The 20,396-nt window shown below is 53.9% G+C and overlaps 2 protein-coding genes across 7 annotated transcripts in view, besides 1 other annotated feature; one reads left to right on the top strand and one right to left on the bottom strand.

Moving 5' to 3' along the window:
* Positions 978 to 1,277: a silencer, noted in NCBI's record as "silent region_7165". NCBI's record gives its function as "represses an Ori minimal core promoter by ATAC-STARR-seq in GM12878 lymphoblastoid cells {active_cell/tissue: GM12878}" and the evidence as "EXISTENCE:reporter gene assay evidence [ECO:0000049][PMID:35858748]".
* Positions 1,024 to 20,396, top strand: part of ZNF500 (zinc finger protein 500) — a 22,918-nt gene continuing 3,545 nt past the window's right edge. Inside the window, exons 1-7 of one of the 4 annotated variants that reach the window (NM_001303450.2) lie at positions 1,024 to 1,169; positions 2,110 to 2,621; positions 5,430 to 5,613; positions 5,851 to 5,915; positions 7,598 to 7,694; positions 15,128 to 15,664; positions 16,528 to 17,371. In NM_001303450.2, the coding sequence (NP_001290379.1) occupies positions 2,208 to 2,621; positions 5,430 to 5,613; positions 5,851 to 5,915; positions 7,598 to 7,694; positions 15,128 to 15,664; positions 16,528 to 16,556 (1,326 nt within the window). In that variant the 5' untranslated portion in view covers positions 1,024 to 1,169; positions 2,110 to 2,207 and the 3' untranslated portion in view covers positions 16,557 to 17,371. Of the gene's footprint in view, positions 1,170 to 2,109; positions 2,622 to 3,896; positions 4,577 to 5,429; positions 5,614 to 5,850; positions 5,916 to 7,597; positions 7,695 to 15,127; positions 19,948 to 20,396 lie in introns of those variants that run through there. The other 3 variants (XM_011522453.3, NM_021646.4, XM_005255243.5) reach the window with 3 other exon arrangements.
* DNAAF8 (dynein axonemal assembly factor 8) overlaps positions 18,790 to 20,396 on the bottom strand; it is a 14,860-nt gene continuing 13,253 nt past the window's right edge. For all 3 annotated transcript variants that reach the window (NM_139170.3, XM_005255144.4, XM_017022975.2), the window contains one exon: positions 18,790 to 19,461. The gene's annotated coding sequence lies outside the window, so the exon portion shown is untranslated. The remainder of the gene's footprint in view (positions 19,462 to 20,396) is intronic.

Here is a 20,396-nt window from a genome sequence, read left to right as displayed (position 1 = left end):
CTACTAAAAATACAAAAATTAGCCGGACCTGGTGGTTCGTGCCTGTAATCCCAACTATTCGGGAGGTTAGGTAGGAGAATTGCTTAAAACCGGGCGGCGGAGGTTGCTGTGAGCCAAGGTCGAGCCACTGCACTCTAGCCTGGGCGACAGAGTGAGACCCTGTCTCTAAATAAATAAATACATACATACAAGAATTGATACCTGGCTGGGCACACCTGTAATCCTGACACTTTGGGAAGCTGAGGCGGGAAGATTGCTTGGGCCCAGGAGTTTGAGACCAGCCTAGGCACCATGGTGGGACTTCATCTCTAACAACAACAACAAAGATTGATGCCCATTATTATGTTGTCAGAAAGAAGCAGGCAGGACAAGGGATATTTGGGGTTGGACGTTGTTGGGGGCCCTCTTGGGGGAGGGTGGGCGCAAGCACTTGGCATCTCTTCCAGTTTTATCTTGAACAACTTCTGCCTTTATTTATTTTATTTATTTATTATTTATTTATTTATTTTTTGAGATGGAGTTTCGCTCTTGTTGCCCAGGCTGGAGGACAATGGCAGGATGTCGGCTCACTGCAACCTGCGCCTTAGCCTCCTGAGTAGCTAGGATTACAGGCATGAACCACCACGCCCAGGTTTCTCCACGTTAGTCAGGCTGGTCTCGAACTCCCGACCTCAGGTGATCCGCCCGCGTCGGCCTCCCAAAGTGCTAGGATTACAGGTGTGAGCCACCGTGCCCGGACGACTTTGCTGGCTTTAAAGATGGAGGAGGCGGCCAGAGGAGAGCGGAGCGGGTGTGGAACAGTGACTGGGAAAGTAGCCCAGAGGCTGCAGAGTCGCCGCACGCTCGCGCGGTCACCGAGGTGCTGGACTACGTTACCCACAATGCGTGCCTTTGAGGACCACATTAACCACAGTGCACGTCGCGGACCCGCCCACTCGGCCGTGTTGCCACGCCCCCAACGGCCGGCTTAGCCAATGGTGCCACGGCTACGTTACCCACAATGCCGCCTGCGGGCCCACCCGCACGGCCTGGTTTGCACCCCTGGTTTAGGGTCTTCGGCCCCGGCTCTGGCGTCCCTGGCTGCCAAGCCTGAGGCCCGCAGTCCTACTCCCGCCGAGACCCGCCGCTCCGGTCCTGCCCCGAACTGCCCACGGCCGGCAGCGCTTCCAGTGAGTGCGGGGGGCGCGGGGACGCGGGTCCCGGCCGAAGCTTCGATTTCGCGGCCCGCGCCAGCACCCGGGTCTGTGCCGCGGCCTCGGGTACCGCTCACCCTCCACCTGAGGGATGAGACGGGAAAGCAGCCCGGCCTGGGGGTCCCAGCTCTCCCAGGACCCTGGAATTGGGGGGCTGTCGTGACCACCCACGCGGGGGTGCCTGACGGGGCCGCGTAGGGGCTTCAGGGTTCGCCAGACCTGGACACCGGGGATCAAGTTGAGGCAGAGTCTGCAGAAAGGCCCTACTTTTCATCAGATTTCCAAAGGAACCCCTTCCATATAGGACCCACTCTAATCATGGAAAATAACGATTCTCGAGCTCTGACCGCAAACATCCCTTTTAGATTGTTTTTGTTTGAGTCTCTCTCTGTCGCCCAGGCTGGAGTGCAGTGGCGCTATCTCAGTTCACTGCAACCTCCATCTCCCGGGTTCAAGCGATTCTCCTGTCTCAGCCTCCCGAGTTGCTGGGATTACAGATGTGCTACCACCATGTCGGGCTAATTTTTGTATTTTTTGTAGAGACAGGGTTCCACCACGTTGACCAGGTGGTCAACTCCTGAACTCACGTGATCTGCCCTCCTCTGCCTCCCAAAGTGCGGGGATTACAGGCGTCAGCTACTGCCCCCAGCCATCCCTTTTAGTTCTGTCAGCAACCTGTGTGTGTAGGTCCTGTTATCATCTCTGTTTGCCCAGTGAGGAAGCAAAGCCCAGAGCCCTTCAGTAAATTACCCGGGAATTAACAGGGGGTTAATAACAAAGATGACATTCATCCACTTCCTTTTCCTTTTCCATGGTGGGGTGAGCTGGCCTTGGAACCAGGGCAGGGGCTTCCCAGGCCAAAGGGCTTATCCAGCCCCAGGGCTGCCCTTCAGATGGTTTTATCGTCTCTCCACAGGGCCCTGAAAAAAACTCTCTTCCTGTGTCTGGCCAGAGGTATAGAGAGAGACAGGTTCAACTCTAAGGCCTGAAAAGGAACAAGGCCCACCGGAAGCAATGGCCACTGTCCCTGGCCTCCAGCCCCTGCCAACCTTGGAGCAGGACCTGGAACAGGAAGAGATCCTGATTGTGAAGGTGGAGGAGGACTTCTGCTTGGAAGAGGAGCCCTCCGTGGAGACGGAGGACCCCAGCCCTGAGACTTTCCGCCAGCTCTTCCGGCTCTTCTGCTACCAGGAGGTGGCTGGGCCCCGGGAGGCCCTGAGCCGCCTCTGGGAGCTGTGCTGCCGCTGGCTGCGGCCGGAGCTGCGCACCAAGGAGCAGATCCTGGAGCTGCTGGTGCTGGAGCAGTTCCTGACTGTGCTGCCGGGGGAGATCCAGGCTCGGGTACGCGAGCAGCAGCCGGAGAGCGGTGAGGAGGCCGTGGTCCTTGTGGAAGGGCTGCAGCGGAAGCCCAGGAAACACAGGCAGCGGGTGAGTGGGGGCATTTTGACCCTCAGGTGAGGAAATGGGGCCCTGCTGCTGGGGTCTGCAGCTGCAGATTCCTTGGTCATTGGGTGACCAAGTGTGGCTGCCTGGCCCCTGAGCCCTTTTGAGGAAAGCAACTGCAAAAGATTTCTCAGCCTTGGCTAATGGGTGTCCACCCTTTGATTAACCTCATCCTACCCCAATAGCCCTTTATTAGCTAGTGCAGATGGTTTGTGAACACTGTCCTAGGGTAGGCCAAACATGTTTTTTTTTTTGAGACATAGTCTCGCTCTGTTGCCCAGGCTATGGTGGTGTGATCACCGCTCATTGCAGCCTCTACCTCCAGGCTTCAAGCAATCCTCCCACCTCAGCCTATTGAGTAGCTGGGACTACAGGCATGCACCACTACACCTGCTAATTTTGTGTATTTTTTGTAGAGACAGGGTTTCGTTATGTTGCCCAGACTGGTCTTGAACTCCTGGCCTCAAGTGATCCTCCCATCTTGGCCTCCCGAAGTGCTGGGATTACAGGCATGAGCCACTACGCCAGCCCCAAACATAGGTTTTGGTGGGAGAGAGGTCCGGCACCTTCCAAGGCAGGGAGTTGAAACTACCCCCAAAGTGGGAGAACACTGGGAAGAAAGACCAGGGGCATGGGGGGCACTTTGGTTAGAGCCCCCAGAGGTTCTAGAGCTGTGCCATGCAAAACAGTAGCTGCCAGCCACATGTAGCTTTTTAAATTATAGCTATGTACATTTATTTTACTTTTTTTTTTTTTTTCTTTTTTTTTGAGATGGAGTCTCGCCCTGTCGCCCAGGCTGGAGAGCAGTGGCGCAATCTCGGCTCACTGCAAGCTCCGCCTCCCGGATTCACGCCATTCTCCTGCCTCAGCCTCCTCAGCAGCTGGGACTACAGGCGCCCACCACCACGCCCGGCTAATTTTTTTGTATTTTTAGTAGAGACAGGGTTTCACCGTGTTAGCCAGGGTGGTCTGGATCTCCTGACCTCGTGATTCACCTGCCTTGGCCTCCCAAAGTGCTGGGATTACAGGCGTGAGCCACCGCACCTAGCCCATTTATTTTACTTTTATTTTTGTGAGACAGAGTCTCTCTCTGTCGCCCAGGCTGGAGTGATTCTCGTGCCTCAGCCTCCCAAGTAGCTGGCATTACAGGGATCTGCCACCACGCCAGGCTGATTTTTGTATTTTTAGTAGAGACAGGGTTTTGCAATGTTGGCTAGGCTGGTCTCAAACTCCTGGCCTCAAGTGATCTGCCTGCCTTGGCCTCCCAAAGTGCTGGGATTACAGGCATGAGCCACTGTGCCCGGCCACTGTGTAGAATGTTAAATTAGTTCCTCAGTCACACTGACCACCTCTCAAGGGCTCAGTCGTCACACATGGCCAGTGGCTACTGTACTGGATGGCACAGACAGGACCCTTCTGACACACCGAAATCTCTATAGACAGTGCCTCTCCACCTCCTTCCAGCCCCATTTGAAGGAGTAGAGGAAGCCTCTTACTCATTCCTGCTGCTTCAGTTTCAGTTGTGGAACTCCTTGAGATTAGAAAGAAGTCCTGCCACCTGCTGTTTCAGTTCATTTTTCAGGGCCTTGCGTGGATGGGGCACATGGGCAGTGCTGACCAGCTGCCTTTCTTCCTGTGGCAGTGCTGCTGGCTGCACACTGCTGGCCTTTTGCAGCCAACAGAGGAGGCACATCCCCTAATGCTTGACCACGGCGTGAGCTGACCGCAGTCAGAAAATCCTGCCATCGGGGTGGCCAAGAAATCGGGGTTTCTTCCCAGCCGGCCAGCCTCTTTCCTGGCCACCACAGCTTCAGTGTTTGGGGTTCCCGGCATGGCTTCCTTCTGTCACTGCACCGACACCTCTGCACACATGCCTCATGGCCATCACTGAGCTGAGAGGGGCAGGCTGTGCTCCCCAAGGGGACTACGCTCCCTTAGAGGTGTGGAATGTTGAATAAGAGGAAGCCTGAGATGGGTCCCTGACGCTGGGTTTGTAGTTGCCTAGGGATGTCTCTTGTCCAAGTGCTATTGCAGAGCTCAATTCTAAGACCCAATTTCATTCAACTCACCTTTCCTGGAATTAGGAAATAGATCATCTCAGAGCACCTGTTGATAATTTCTTTTTTTTTTCTTTTTTTTTTTTTCTTCCCTGAGATGGAGTCTCGCTCTTTTGCCCAGGCTGGAGTGCAGTGGCACGATCTCGGCTCACTGCAACCTGTACTTCCCGAGTTCAAGCGATTCTCCTGCCTCAGCCTCCCAAGTACCTGGGATTACAAGCGTGCTGCCACCATGCCTGGCTAATTTTTGTATTTTTAGTAGAGATGGGGTTTCACCATGTTGGTTAGGCTGGTCTCGAACTCCTGGCCTCAGGTGATCCACCCACCTCGGCCTCCCAAAGTGCTGGAATTACAGGTGTGAGCCATTGCAGCTGGCCAGATAATTTCAAAAAATCTAGCAAATGCAGTTCTGTGAACTTCTGAAATTAGTCCAGCGCTGACTCAGGGCTCTTCTGGCCCAGGGTCTATCCCAGGGTCTATCAGGAGGACCAAGGAATAGAGGGTAAGAATGTGATGGGGAAACGATTGTGGTGACAGGGAGAGACCATGGAGTAGAGCAGGCTGGGAGCTGGCTGCAGGGAACACTGCCACACGGCTGGGCAGAGGGAGGGAGGCTGCAGACAGCCCGGGGGTGGGCAGCCGGCTGGGGTGCCTGAGATGAGGGGTGTGGGGCCCTGCGGGGATTTTTCCTTCTGGCCTTCTGGGAGCTGGTGGGGAGATCACTGTCTGTGTGCAGGGCTCAGAGCTGCTTTCTGATGACGAGGTGCCCCTCGGGATAGGGGGACAGTTCTTAAAACACCAGGCAGAGGCTCAGCCAGAGGATCTGTCCCTGGAGGAAGAGGCTCGATTCTCCAGCCAGCAGCCCCCAGCCCAGCTGAGCCACAGGCCACAGAGGGGCCCGCTGTTGTGGCCAGAGAGAGGTGAGTAGCACCCCTTTGGAGGAATGAGAAGTGGTGCAGGGGAGGGAGGTGAAGGTGACTGGGGTGTGGACTGTGGCCAGGGCAGAGGCCTGCCTGGATGCAGGGTGCACAGGCTCTCCAGCAAGGAGTGGATCTTGGGTGGGCAGCCGCCGGGCTGTTGGGGCCTTGGTGTGCAGGGGACGGCAGGGGCAGTACTGGGTGAGCTGTGTGACTGGTGGTGACTCTGCTCCTTCCCAGGCCCTCCAGCTCCCCGGCATCAGGAGATGGCGTCAGCCTCGCCCTTCCTTTCGGCCTGGTCCCAGGTGAGTGGGATGCTCCTGGTCTGCAGCATCCTGGGGTCTGGCCCGACCTCCTGTGTGTCACACTTCCTTGTTAAGGGGACACCTCTCCTGGGGGCCAAGGTTTTGGATGTCAGAGGAGCTCTTCCCTGGAGTTTTCTCCCTTTGCCCCAACCCTGGAGTCACTTCCCCTGGCCTCCTGGGAAGTCTTTTCTTCTCTCCAGAGGCCATTTAAGTACTCGGCTGTGCCCGGAAGATTCTGCGGTCCACCAGTGAGACAGGGTGGTGACTCCTACTCTGCTGGGCACAGGAATCTCTTGGGACTCTGGGGGAAAACACAGCTTCCTCCCACACCGCTGGGCTGGAATGGGAGTCTCCTTTGTTTGCTTGCTGGTTTTTTTGGGGTTTTTGTTTGTTTGTTTGTTTGTTTGTTTGTTTTGAGCCAAAGTCTGGCTCTGTGCTCACGCTGGAGTGCAGTAGTGTGATTACAGCTCACTGCAGCCTTGACCTCCCAGGCTCAAGGGATCCTCCTGCCTCAGCCTCCTCAGTTAGTTGGGACTACAGGCATGCACCACCACACCCGGCTAGTTGTTTTTTTTTTGTTTTTTTTTTAATGGGACACAGTCTCGCTGTGCTGCCTAGGCTGGTCTTGAACTCCTGGGCTCAAGTGATCCTCTTGCCTAAGTCTCCCAAAGCACTGGGATTACAGGCATAAGCCACCATGCCTGGCCTGTTTTATTTTTATTTATTTATTTATAATTTTTATATGTGTGTGTGTGTGTGTGTGTGTGTGTGTGTGTGTGTGTGTGTGTGTGTATGTATGTGTATTTGTTTTGTTTTGTTTTTGTTTTTTTGAGACAGAGTTTTGCTCTTGTTGCCCAGGCTGGAGTGCAATGGTGCGATCTCGGCTCACTGCAACCTCCGGCTCCCGGGTTCAAGCGATTTTCCTGCGTCAGCCTCCTGAGTAGCTGGGATTACAGGCACCCACCACCATGCCTGGCTAATTTTTTTTGTATTTTTAGTACAGATGGGGTTTCACCATGTTGGCCAGGCTGGTCTGGAGCTCCTGACCTCAGATGATCCACCTGCCTTGGCCTCCCAATGTGCTGGGATTACGGGTGTGAGCCACCGCGCCCGGCCGAACATTTCCTTTAGACCCTCCCCGAAAACCCCCTAGACTCATTACCAGAGTCTCTACCTGTTTTTCCCTCAGCCTCTGGCAACCACAAAGCTCCTTCTTGTCTCTGTGAATTTGCCTGTTCTGGAAAGAGTTTGCTTGTTTTTTTAATCATGCTTCCGGGTCAATCTGGTGCTACATCTGGGAGCCACTGGCCCAGAGGCATCCTGAAGTCCCCCGTCTGCCGCAATGGGGTCCTGGGGCTGGCTAGCCACGGAGCCAGGGGATGCTCTTGTCTCCCTGTGGAGCATGGGCCTCGGTGGCTGAGTGTGCAGTGGGTCCACCACTCCTCGTGGCGAATCTGTCCCTTCTCCGGTGGTGTCCCAGCTCTGCAGCAGTGGCACATGGGAGCAGTGGGCGGAGACACCAGGACTCACCACTGCAACGAGAGTGGAGAAGACCAGCTGCACCACCAGGCTTGGCGCCAGCCTCGAGGGGCAGTGGCGGTGCAGCTCCCTGGGCCAGTGGCCTTAGTTGGGGAGGAGGCAGCTTGCTTGGGGCCAGGACTGAGTGGGGTGCGTTCTGGCAGGTGCCCGTGAACTTGGAGGACGTGGCTGTATACCTTTCTGGGGAGGAGCCAAGATGCATGGACCCAGCTCAGCGGGACGCGCCGCTGGAGAATGAAGGTAACTTGCAAGTGATTGTGTCCTCTAGGGGGCTTGCCAAAAATAGGAACTGTCAGGCACCAGCTCCGGGGCTTGGTTCTGTTGGTCCAGTTGGCCTGGGGCGATCCTCCGTGGACAGGGCTACCCGTATCCCTGCAGAGTCCCACCTGCAGGGCCTGCACAGCCACTCGGCCGTGACTCAGGCAGATGCCCAGCACTGCCTTGCCATCCTGTTCTTCTGCCTCTGCCCCCTACATGCTGGTCCTACTTCACTTCAGCTTCCCTGTGCCCTCCTCTCAAGGGCAGAGCTGCTCCCACAGGACCTGGTTCTCCAGCCTCTCCCCATCACACTGAGCACTGCCCTGCCTGTTACCCAGCACCGTCCCCTAAGCTCTTTCTCTGTCCGTTTGTCTCTTCCTGCCTTTCCTGATGCTGCTGAAGCCTTTTCTGGTTTTTTGTTTGCTTGTTTGTTTTGAGATGGATTTTTGCTCTGTTGCCCAGGCTGGAGTGCAGTGGCACAACCTTGGCTCACTGCAACCTCCACCTCCTGGGTTCAAGCGATGCTCCCACCTCAGCCTCCCAAGTAGCTGGGATTACAGGTACTCGCCATCATGCCTGGCTAATTTTTGTTTTATTAGTAGAGATGGGTTTCATCACCATGTTGGCCAGGCTGGTCTCGAAGTCCTGACTTCAGGTGATCCGCTGGCCTAGGCCTCCCAAAGTGCTGGGATGACAGGTGTGAGCCACCGTGCGTGGCCATGCTGAAGCCTTTTCTAATGACAGTGAGATATCGCTTTGTATTAGGGTTCTTCTCCAGAGAAACAGAACCAACAGAAGATACACACACACACAGATTTATTTTAAGGAATGGGTACTTAGACAGCTCCCTTGGTTGCTTACAGAAGTTGACAAGTCTGAAATCTGCAGGCCAGGCCAGCAGACTGGAAGCTTAGGATTTCTGTGCCACGGTCTTGAGGCAGACTTCCTTCTTTGGGAAACCTCCAGAATTTTTTTCCTTTTTAAGGCTGAAGAATATTCCATTGTAAATAATGCTGCAGTGAACGTGGGTGTACAAGTGTATCTCTGATCAACTCTGCTTTCCGTTCCTGGGTGGATGTATCCAGCAGTGGGATGGCTGGAGCATATGTGGTCATTCTGTGTTGAATTTTTTGAGGAGCCGCCATGCTGTTTTCCACAGCATCTGCACCATCTCATGCACCCAGCAAGAGTGCACAAGGGTTCCAGTTTCTCCACATCCATACCAATGGTTGTTATTTTCAGGGTTTTTTTTTTTTTTTGAGATGAAGTCTTGCTCTGTTGCCCAGGCTGGAGTGGAGTGGCACGATCTCAGCTCAGCTCACTGCAACCTCCGCCTTCCAGGTTCAAGCGATTCTCCTGCCTCAGCCTCCCAAAGTAGCTGGGATTACAGGTGTGTGCCACCATACCCGGCTAATTTTTCTATTTTTAGTAGAGCTGGGTTTTGCCATGTTGGCCAAGCTGGTCTCGAATTCCTGATCTCAAGTGATCTGCCTGCCTCAGCCTCCCTAAGTGCTGGGATTACAGGCGTGAGCTACCGCACCTGGCCTGATTTGGAAATATTTTCTCCTATTTTGTGTGTTGCATTTTCATTTTGTTGGTAGCGTCCTTTCATGCACAAAAGTTTTTGGTTCTAGTGTCCAGTTGATCGTTTTTTTCTTTTGTTGCCTATGAAGAGTTTTAGATGATGTTGTATGGGGCTCTGGTTGGTCATCAGTAGCTTTAGTGACAGGCATCCAGAGCAGGGGTTCTCCACCTGGGGCAATCTTGTCCCCCAGAGGACATCTGTCCATGAGTTGGAGACATTTTTGGTTGTCACGACCCTGGGGTTGTCACTGATGAAAGTGATTATTTGTTGAGCAGAAGGTGGGGATGCTGCCCAACCTCCTGCGGTGCACAGGGCGGCCGCATCAGAGACAGCCCGGGCCAGGTCCCATGGACACCACCTGCACCGTGATTGAGGAACCCTGATCTGAAGATCTCTGAGCGCACATTACCTGTGGTCCAGTTCATTCCCTGTGCAAAAGGCAGAAGTCAAAAGGGAAAGAATTTGCCAGCCCTCCCGGCTCCCAAGTGGTTACGTGGAATCCTCAGAAGGGAAGGAATGAGATTCTGCCCAGCTCTGTCCACCAGCTCCTGGAGCCCAGACACAGCTTCCCTCTCAGGGTCACAGGCATGTGTTTGGGTTTTACTTACCCGGCGCCAGAGCCTATGGTAAAAAAGGTCTGTGGGGCCGAGGAAAATTGGATCTATTTGATCTTGCTTAAAAAAAAAAATGGCCAGGCACGGTGACTCACACCTGTGATCCCAGCACTTTGGGAAGCCGAGGCGAGTGTTTATCACCTGAGGTCAGGAGTTCGAGTCCAGCCTGGCCAACATGGTGAAACCCTGTCTCTATTAAAAATACAAAAATTAGGCGTGATGGCGGGTGCCTATAATCCCAGCTACTTGGGAGGCTGAGGCAGGAGAATAGCTTGAACCCAGGAGGCGGAGATTGCAGTAAGCCAAGATCACGCCATTGCACTCCAGCCTGGGCAACAAGAGCGAAACTCTGTGTCAAAAAAAAAAAAAAAATTGGCTGGCGCGGTGGCTCACACCTGTAATCCCAGCACTTCCAGAGGCTGAGGCGGGTGGATCATGAGGTCAGGAGATCGAGTCCATCCTGGCCAACATGATGAAACCCTGTCTCTCCTAAAAAATACAAAAATTAGCTGGGTGTGGTGGTACTCATCTGTAGTCCCAGGTACTCGGGAGGCTGAGGCAGGAGAATCGCTTGAACCCGGGAGGCGGAGGTTGCAGTGAGCCGAGATCACACCACTGCACTCCAGTCTGGGCAACAGAGCAAGACTCCGTTTCCAAAAAACAAAAACAAAAACGGGCCGGGCATGGTGGCTCATGCCTGTAATCCCAGCACCTTGAGAGGTCAAGGCGGGTGGATTGCTCGAGTCCAGGAGTTCAAGACCAGCCTGAGCAATATGGAGAAGCCTTGTCTCTACAAAAAAATACAAAAGTGGTGCATGCCTGTAGTCCCAGCTGCTTGAGAGGCTGAGGTGGGAGGAACACTTGAGCTTGGGGGGTCAAGGCTGCAGTAAGCTGTGATCATACCACTGCACTCCAGCCTGGGCAACAGAGTGAGACTCTGTCTCAAAAAAACAAATTAGGTTGGTACCTGGCCTCAAAGTTTTTACATTTTTTAATGAGATGAAATTCACGGGCAACCCGTTCGGGTCCCCTTCCACACTGTGGAAACTTGTTCTTTCACTCTTCGTAATAAATCTTGCTGCTGCTCAAAGAAAAAGAAATTCACATAACATAAAATTAGCCATATTTCAGTAAACGGTTCAGTGGCGTTTCGTATCTTCACAGTGTTGTACAATCATCACCTTCATCTAGTTCCAAAACTTTTTTCTTCCCTTTTTTGAGACAGGGTCTCACTCTGTCACCCAGGTTGGGTGCAGTAACACATAGTTCCAAAACTTTTTTTTTCTTTTTTTGAGACAGGATCTCACTCTGTCACCCAGGTTGGAGTGCAGTAGCACAATTTTGACTCACTGCAGCTTCAACCTCCCCAGGCTCAGGTGATTCTACCACCTCAGCCTCCCGAGTAGCTGGTACCACAGGTCAATGCCACCATGCCCAGCTAATTTTGAAAAAATTTTTGGGCCGGGCACGGTGTCTCACGTCTGTAATCCCAGCACTTTGGGAGGCCAAGGCGGGTGGATCACGAGGTCAAGAGATCGAGACCATCCTGGCCGGCATGGTGAAACCCCATCTCTACTAAAAATACAAAAAAATTAGCCGGGTGTGGTGGCATGCACCTATAGTCCCAGCTACTCAGAGGCTGAGGCAGGAGAATCGCTTGAACCCAGGAGGCAGAGGTTGCAGTGAGCTGAGATCGCGCCATTACACACCAGCCTGGGCGACAAAAATTTTTTGATAGAGATGGAGTCTCACTGTGTTACCCGGGCTCAAAAACATTTTTTTTTCTTAATTGAGATGGAGTTTCACTCTGTCACCCAGGTTGGATTGCAGTGGCATGATCTCGGCTCACTGCAACCTCCATCTCCTGGGTTCAAGCAATTCTCGTGCCTTAGCCTCCCAAGCAGCTGGGATTACAGGTGTGCATCACCACACCTGGCTAATTTTTGTATTTTTAGTAGAGACAGCATTTTACCATGTTGGTCAGGCTGGTCTTGAACTCCTGATCTTGTGATCTGCCCGCCTCGGCCTCCCAATATTTTTTCTATTTTTAGTAGAGACAGTGTTTTGCCATGTTGGCGAGAACTCCTGACGTCAAATGATCAGCCCGCATCGGCATTTCAGAGTGCTGGTATTACAGGCGTGAGCTATCAGGCCTGGCCCTCAAAAACATTCTTTATCATGCTAAATGGAAACCTCGTACCCAACAAGCAGTTTCTCCCCATTTCCCCTCCCCTAGCCTCTGGCAGCCACCTGTCTGCTCTGTCTCTGGGTGTGCCTATTCTGGTTGTCTTCTGTAAAGGGAATCGTGCAGGGACTGTCCCTTGGTGACTGGCTTCTTTTGCTCAGTGTCATGTGTTCCTGGGTCATCCGTGGTATAGCATGTGTCAGTGCTTCCTTTTCATGGCTGAATAGTATTCCACTGTATGGATAGACCACGTTTTGTTGATCCATTTTCGTTGATGGACATTTGGGTGATTTCCATTTTTTGGCTACTGTGAAGAGTGCTGTCGTGAACATTTATGTACACATTTCTGTTTGAGGACATGTTTTCAGTTTTCTTGGGTGTGTACCTAGGAGTAAAGTCATTGGCTCATATAATGACTCTTGTTTACCTTTTGATGAGCTGCCAGACTCAGTCTCTTTTAAAAATATTTGTACGGCCAGGCATGGTGGCTCACCCCTGTGATCTCAGCACTTTGGGAGGCCAAGGCGGTTGGGTCACCTGAGGTCAGGAGTTCGAGACCAGCCTGGCCAACATGGTGAAACTCTTTCTCTACTAAAAATACAAAAATTGGCTGGGTGTGGTGGCTCACTCCTGTAATCCCAGCTACTCGGGAGCCTGAGGTAGGAGAATCGCTTGAACCTGGGAGGCAGAGGTTACAGTGAGCGGAGATCACACCACTGCACTCCAGCCTGGAAGACAGAGCGAGACTCCATCTCAAAAATAAATAAATAAATAAGTAAAAATATTTTTACAACAAGGCTGGGTGCTGTGGCTCACGCCTATATCTCAGCACTTTGGGAGGCTGAGGTGGGAGGATCACTTGAGGTCAGGAGTTTGAGGCCAGCCTGGGCAATATAGTGAGGCCCTGTGTATTAGGTCATTCTCGCATTGCTGTAAAGAAATACCTGAGACCTGGTAATTTATAAAGAAAAAAGGTTTAATTGGCTGTACAGAAAGCATGATGCTGGTGTCTGCTCAGCTTTTGGGGAGGCCTCAGGAAGCTTCCAGTCATGGTGGAAAGCAGAGAGGGAGCAGGCATGTCTCACATGGCTGGAGCAGGAGCAAAGGAGCGAGGGGAGGTGCCGCTCACTTTTAATCGACCACATCTCATGGGAACTCACTCACCATTGTCAGGACAGTACCAAGAGGATGGTGCCAAACCATTCATGAGAAATCTGCCTCCATGACCCACTCACCTCCCACCAGGCCCCACCTCCACATTGGGGATTACAGTCTGACATGAGATTTGGGTGAGGACATAGATCGAAACCATATCACCCTGTCTTTAAAATAAATAAATAAAATATTATTATAGCAGGCCAATGAGGTGGTTCCAATCCTCCTCTCAGTTTTATTTATTTTCTATTTTTTTTTTTTTTATTTTTTTGAGACAGAGTCTCGCTCTGTCGCCCAGGCTGGAGTGCAGTGGCACGATCTTGGCTCATTGCAACTTCTGCCTCCCGAGTTCAAGCGATTCTCCTGCCTCAGCCTCCCAAGTAGCTGGGATTACAGGCACCCACCACTACCCCCAACTAATTTTTTTATTTTTAATAAAATAAAATGGGGTTTCACCATGTTGGCCAGGCTGGTCTCAAACTCCTGACCTCAAGTGATCCGCCTTCCTCGGCCTCCCAAAGTGCTTGGATTACAGGCATGAGCCACCATGCCCGGCCTCCTCTCAGTTTTTTAGATGTGGAATTTGAGGCTCAGTACGTGCCAAACCCACCTTCGGCTATCTGGAAGTTGGTCCTGGAGATGGGAGGGGAGGGCAAGAAGGATTCGCCCAGGAGGTCTGGGGCTGGGAGTGTCTTAAAGTGGACATTTCCAAGGGCAGTGGGTGGTTCTGTCCCTCCCCTGTGAGGTCAGCATGGCGTGTGCCTACCATGCGCAGAGCCTCTTGCGGGACTGCTATGAAGACGGCTGCTCCCCCAGCCCCCCAGGCACCCCAGTGCACTTTGTGCTACCAGGTCCCCAGCTGCAGTCACCCTCATGCTGCAAAGGAAGAGCAGAGAAGTCAAGGGCTTTTTCCTGAAAGGGGCAAAGCCTGGATCATTCCAGGCCCCTCTCCCTGTTCTCCTGTCCTGTTGGTGGTGGCTCTAGAACCTGGATCTGCAGAGGGGCCTCAGGGGCCACACCAAGTACGACAAGGGAGGTCCAGTGGCTGGGAGCCACGACTGCTCTGCTCAGCCAGAACAGCCCAGAGCAGGGCTTCTCCACCTTGGTGCTGCTGGCATTTGGGCCAGATGGCTCTCCACGTGGGGCTGCCTGTGCTGGGTGGGAGGTTTTCCAGCAGCCCTGGCCCCTGCCCACTAGAGGCCATTTACAACCCCCTCCCCAGACACAACAAAAATGTCTCCAGACCTTGCCACTGGGTGGGAACCCCTGGCTTAGAGGATACAGCAGAGTGCAGAGCTTGATGGCCCTCACTCTGTAACTTAGCAGCCCGGTGATTCTGGGTAAGTTTCTTAACACTTGTGTGCCTCGGTTTCCCCATCTGCAGGATGGAGATGGTAACAGCACTGACCCACTGGGTTATTGTGATGGTCAAGTGCGTTCCTCTTTGTTTGTTTTATTGATTGTTTAGTTTTTGAAACAGGGTCTCATGCCGTCACCCGGGCTGGAATGTAGTGGCGCGATCACAGCTCACTGCAGCCTTGACCTCCTAGACTCAAGTGATCCTCCGACCTCAGCCTCCTGAGTAGCTAGGACTACAGGCACACGCCACCATGCCCAGCTAGTTTTGTTTATTTTCTGTAGAGACGAGATCTCACTGCGTTGCCCAAGCTGGTCTTGAACTCCTGGGCTCAAGCAATCCTCCCACTTCAGCCTTCCAAAGTGCTGGGATTATAGGCGTGAGCCACAGTGCCCAGCCCCTGCTAAATGTTTTGTAGGGGAACCTTAGGAGCCCTGTGAGGCCTTCATTTTCCTATTAGAAGGATTTCCCTTGCCCTCTTGCTGTGAGTTCCTAGAGATCGTGCTTTCTCTGTCTCAGGACCTGGGATCCAGTTGGAGGACGGCGGTGATGGCAGGGAGGATGCCCCGTTGAGAATGGAGTGGTACCGAGTGCTCTCGGCACGATGCCAGGGGCCTGGCCACCCGCTCCCAGGTCAGAGGCCAGCCCCAGTCAGGGGCTTGGTCAGGCCTGATCAGCCAAGAGGCGGCCCCCCACCAGGAAGACGGGCTTCCCATGGGGCTGACAAGCCGTACACCTGCCCCGAATGTGGCAAAGGCTTCAGCAAGACGTCCCACTTGACCAAGCACCAGCGCACACACACGGGCGAGCGGCCTTACAAGTGCCTAGTCTGTGGGAAGGGCTTTAGCGACCGCTCCAACTTCAGCACGCACCAGAGGGTGCACACAGGCGAGAAGCCCTACCCGTGCCCCGAGTGTGGGAAGCGCTTCAGCCAGAGCTCCAGCCTGGTCATCCACCGCAGGACACACAGCGGGGAGCGGCCCTATGCCTGCACCCAGTGCGGGAAGCGCTTCAACAACAGCTCGCACTTCAGCGCCCACCGCCGGACGCACACAGGTGAGAAGCCCTACACCTGCCCGGCCTGTGGCCGGGGCTTCCGCCGGGGCACCGACCTGCACAAGCACCAGCGGACCCACATGGGGGCAGGCTCCTTGCCGACGCTCCAGCCGGTGGCTCCTGGAGGCCCCGGTGCCAAAGCCTGATCACCAGGCCTGAAACTCCCTTTCCAGGACTCTCATCCCTGGGCACAGAATTCAGGAAACTGCTAGACAGCCTGGTCCGAAAGCATTGCCAGCTGCCCGTTTCCTCCCATGGCCCAGTATGAGGCCAGCAGGGGACATTTGGGATGCCCAGGCCGCAGAGGAAGCTGGGCACTGGGTGCAGAACAAGGGCAAGGACAGGCTCTGAGTGTCCAGTGGCAGCCAGAACAGGTGACACAGAGCAGGGGCTTCAGCCACAGAGACACACTCAGGAGGCCAGAAGCCGACACTCAAGGTGTTCGTGGGGCTGGCTCCTGAAGGGCCTGGGAGGGTCCATCAGCTGCCTCCAGCATCCAGTGGCTGCTGGCATACAGCCTCATCCCCACGTCCCAACCCCTCTCCTGTGTGTCTGTGACCCTGTGCGCTGTCTCTGTGTGTACCCCCCACCTGCTCCCCCCCCCTTTTTTTTTTGAGACGGGGCCTTGCTGTGTCCCCCAGGCGGGAATACAGTGCCATGATCATAGCTCACTGCAGCCTCGAATCCCTGGGCTCAAGTGTTCCTCCTGCCTCATCCTCCTGAGTAGCTGGGGTTACAGGTGTGTGCCGCCATGCCCAGTCTCTTTTTTGGTAGGGCCACCACTCACTGGGTTTAGGGTCCCCCAATACACTGTGACCTCATCTTAACTAATTATATCATCAAAACCCGTGTTTCCAAATAAGGTCACATTCTGAGGTCTGGGTGCACATGAATTTGAGGGACCCCTCGTCTGCTGCAGGGAGCCCTGCTGTACCCCAGCCTTCCCAGGACGTGGTCTCCAGCTTCTTCATCCTGCCAGAGTTTCCAAATGGAGCCCGGGGCTCTGCAGCATTCCAGTCCCCTTTGCAGATCCATAGCTGCTCTGCAGGGCGGAAGACACCTGGGGCGGGAAAGCACCCCTGAGTTCCATCTTCCTGACATGTTGCCTGGGATGTGACGGGCCTGACATCTCCCCAGGGCCGGGGCCCAGGGCTGCGTTTGCTCCTGGCCCCTTAGTGTCTGGAATGTGGCCTTCCACGGTTGCCCCACTTTGTCTTTCTAAGGTAAGAAGCCTTCACCTTCCAGCTTTTGTCTGGCCTGTGCTGCGTGGGAGCCACTGGTCTGTGCACATCCACGGTGGGTGAGTGGCCAAGACAAGCAGTGTGATAGAGTCCTTGGTGGGTTTAGTCATCTCGGAAGTCGTAGGGCAGCTATGGAAACCACTGGGTTCTGGAACGTTCCAGCCAGGCAGTGGTTGTTCCTCATAGGTAGGTGGCCTTGGCCTTCATCCCAGCCTGGGATGCTCCATTGCATTTGTCACCTAGTCACTGTATATACGTGCACATTTGACCTTTTGGCACAGCCCAGGTTCCAGGTGCGTGACCTGCCCTTTTTCTCATTCCCTTAACTGACATTATTTAGTGTCAGAGGCCGAGCACAGTGGCTCCCACCTATAATCCTAGCACTTTGGGAGGCCAACGCGGGTGGATTGCTTGAGCCCAGGAGTTCAAGAGCAGCCTGGGCAATATAGAAAGACCTCTTCCCTACCAAAAAAAAAAAAAAAAAAAAAAAGCCAGGTGCAGTGGCTCACGCTTGTAATCCCAGCACTTTGGGAGGCCGAGGCAGGTGGATCACAAGGTCAGGAGATCGAGACCATCCTGGCCAACATGGTGAAACCCCATCTCTACTAAAAACACAAAAATTAGCTAGGCATGGTGGCGTGGCACGTGCCTGTAGTCCCAGCTACTCGGGAAGCTGAGGCAAGAGAATCACTTGAACCAGGGAGGCGGAGGTTGCAGTGAGCCGAGGTCGCACCGTTGTACTCCAGCCTGGTGATAGAACGAGACTCCACACAAAAAAAAAAAAAATTAGCCAGGCATGATGGGGTGTGCCTGTAGTCCCAGCTACTTGAGAGGCTGAGGCTGGAGGATCACTTGAGCCCAGGAAGTTGAGGCTGCAGTGAGCTGTGATTGTGCCACTGCACTCATCCTGGAAGACAGAGTGAGATCCTGTCTCAGATAAAATAAACAATTTTTTTTTTAAGTCATTGCTTCTGGCCCCTGTGTGCTCTGTCCTGTGTCTGCAGAATGGGGCTGCCTGGTTGAGGGACGGCTTTTACCTTCTAGACTAGCTCTGGGATCTCTCATGGGGCATGAGGTACCCAGCTAGATGTGGCCAGGCCACACTCCAGGAGCTAGCAAAGCACCCAGCGTTGCTGACACCCATCTCCCCAGCGCAGCCTGAGCCCCCAGGCCCCTCTCTCATATCCAGGCCTGTGCTGGAGGTGGCGGCCTCTGGGGGAGTGTGGTTGGGGTCTGCCCACTTCCCTCCCCCTGCCGAGGCTGTGGCCTCCCACTGGCTGCTGCTTGGCCCCATCTCATGGTCGCTGCCTGCTGCTTGGCCCCATCTCATGGGCGTCATCCTCAGCACTCACGTGATGGGAGAGTTTTGTAGGAGCTGTGAGTCCCAGGTGCCTGCGTGTGCTGTGATGTTATCTCATGCAGTCCAGTGAGGGGGGACTCCCATTAGTCTCCTTTTTTTGTTTTGTTTTGAGACACAGTCTCACTTCATTACCCAGGCTGGAGTGCAAGGCACGATCTTGGCTCACCACAACCTCCACCTCCCAGGTTCAAGTGATTCTCCTGCCTCAGCCTCCTGAGTAGCTGGGATTACAGGTGCGCACCACTACGCCTGGCTAATTTTTGTATTTTTAGTAGAGATGGGGTTTCTCCATGTTGGTCAGGCTGGTCTTGAACTCCCGACCTTGTGATCCACCCACCTCGGCCTCCCAAAGTGCTGGGATTACAGGCGTGAGCCACCGCGCCCGGCCATGATTCTCCTTCTGTGGGTGGAGGAACTGGGCACTGGGAGCGTGAAAACCTTGCCCAGGTGGCAGAGCCAGCTTTGGACGCAGGTCTGACTTCCTACCTCACTCCCCTTGCCTTGACAGACACAGTAATTCAGAGTTGAACTTGGAACAGAGTTTATTTTCCATCACTGTAAAACATTCTCAGTGAGGTTACTGGCATTAAAAAGGTGGGAGAAATGGAAGAAAATGGGGTTGAAGAAAAAAAAAGCCTTTGCTCTTGACAGCTAGGCAGCCACAGCGGAGGCCGCCAGGCTGCGAGGGCAGCGTATGGGGGCAGAGCCCGGTTCTGGCGGCACAGGCCCCGGAGTGGAGGGGGCAGGGGAGGGTCTCTGTAGGTGGGAGAGGGCCTGGGGGCTGGGAGGCAGCCTGGCCTTGTGCCCTACAGGAGGGACCTCCTGGGACTTTATGGAAGCCTGTCTTGCCTTTGACTTGCAATGAAAATGCCCCTCATCATTGGGAGTGGGGTCGGGTGGGGGTCCCCAGTGGCCAGATCACGTGGGGTCCAGAGAGCAGACATCTGTAGCCCTGATCTTGGCGGCCAGTGACCACGGCCAAGCAGGGCCTGTCTTTTGCCTGGTACAAGGCTTGATGAGAAGAGACCCCTGCCCATCCTCAGTGGCCTGGCAGCCAGGGGTGAACCCCAGGGGAAGCTGGGACACTGTCCCAAAGGCCCGGCGCCCTACTGTGCTGCCTGAGCCCGTGGCACCGTGGGGCCCAAGGTGGTGATGATTTCTCTGCTCTTCCCACGGGGCAGACAGCAGGACACATCCTGGAGACAAGGTTGGGGAGACAAACAGGTGCCCAGGTCAGGGCTGATCACAGCAGTTACAAAAGCATCCCGTGAAGACGGGGCTGCAAGACGGTGCTGGCAAAGGAACAGGACCCAGGAAGACCAGGCTTGTCCTGTGGAGGGGCCGGGTCTTGGCAGGGGGCAAGCAGATGTCCCCAGTTTTTGCTGGTGATCAACAAGTGAGGCCGCTGCTCCATTCTACACAGGACAGCATTTCCAGGGGTTTCCAGTATTCTGTCTAGATTCATAAAGGTCAAAGGCCTTGAGAATCTATGTGTGCCTTTCTATCTTAGGTAAAGAAGAGAAAGAGAAAGCAAATTCTCGTTACTCCTCTTTCAAAAAGTTCATTAAAAGCCAGGCTGGCAGCTCACAGTGCTATAATCCCAGCACTGTGGAAGGCCTAGGCAGGAGGATTGAGAGGAGTTCCAGACCAACCTGGGCAACACCGTGAGACCCCATCTCTACAAAAAAAAAAAAAAAAAAAATTAGCTGGACATGGTGGTGTGCACCTGTAGTCCCAGCTGCTGCGTCTCGAAAAGAGAAAAAACCACGTGTATTAGATCTGTGTGGGTAGGCATGTGTGTGTCGTGTGTTAATTTAGGTGCCCAAAATAGCAAGTATGCAGGAAGCCAGAAAATAAGGCTTAGGTCTCTTTCAACCCTAAAATCCTCTAAATACGTTTTACTTGGTTTTTAAAAAGACCTTATTGATGGAAATAATAGATGCCTGTTTAAAAAAATGCAGAACTGGAGAAAGATGAAGAGCCTCAGAGTCCCGCAGAGAGCAGCACCCCGTCCTCCTGCTGTCCCTGCCCATCTCCCTCAGAGGACCAGGCCCCTTTATCCCAAAGCTGTTGTCACAGGTTACATACAGATTTGTATCTGCATCCTTCCTCTAAGTTCATGCACCTGTGA

Source organism: Homo sapiens, chromosome 16, assembly GCF_000001405.40.
Source record: "Homo sapiens chromosome 16, GRCh38.p14 Primary Assembly".
NCBI classification, from domain to species: domain Eukaryota; kingdom Metazoa; phylum Chordata; class Mammalia; order Primates; family Hominidae; genus Homo; species Homo sapiens.
Note: the sequence above shows the minus strand (reverse complement) of the source record. Positions and strands in the feature narration are given on the sequence as shown.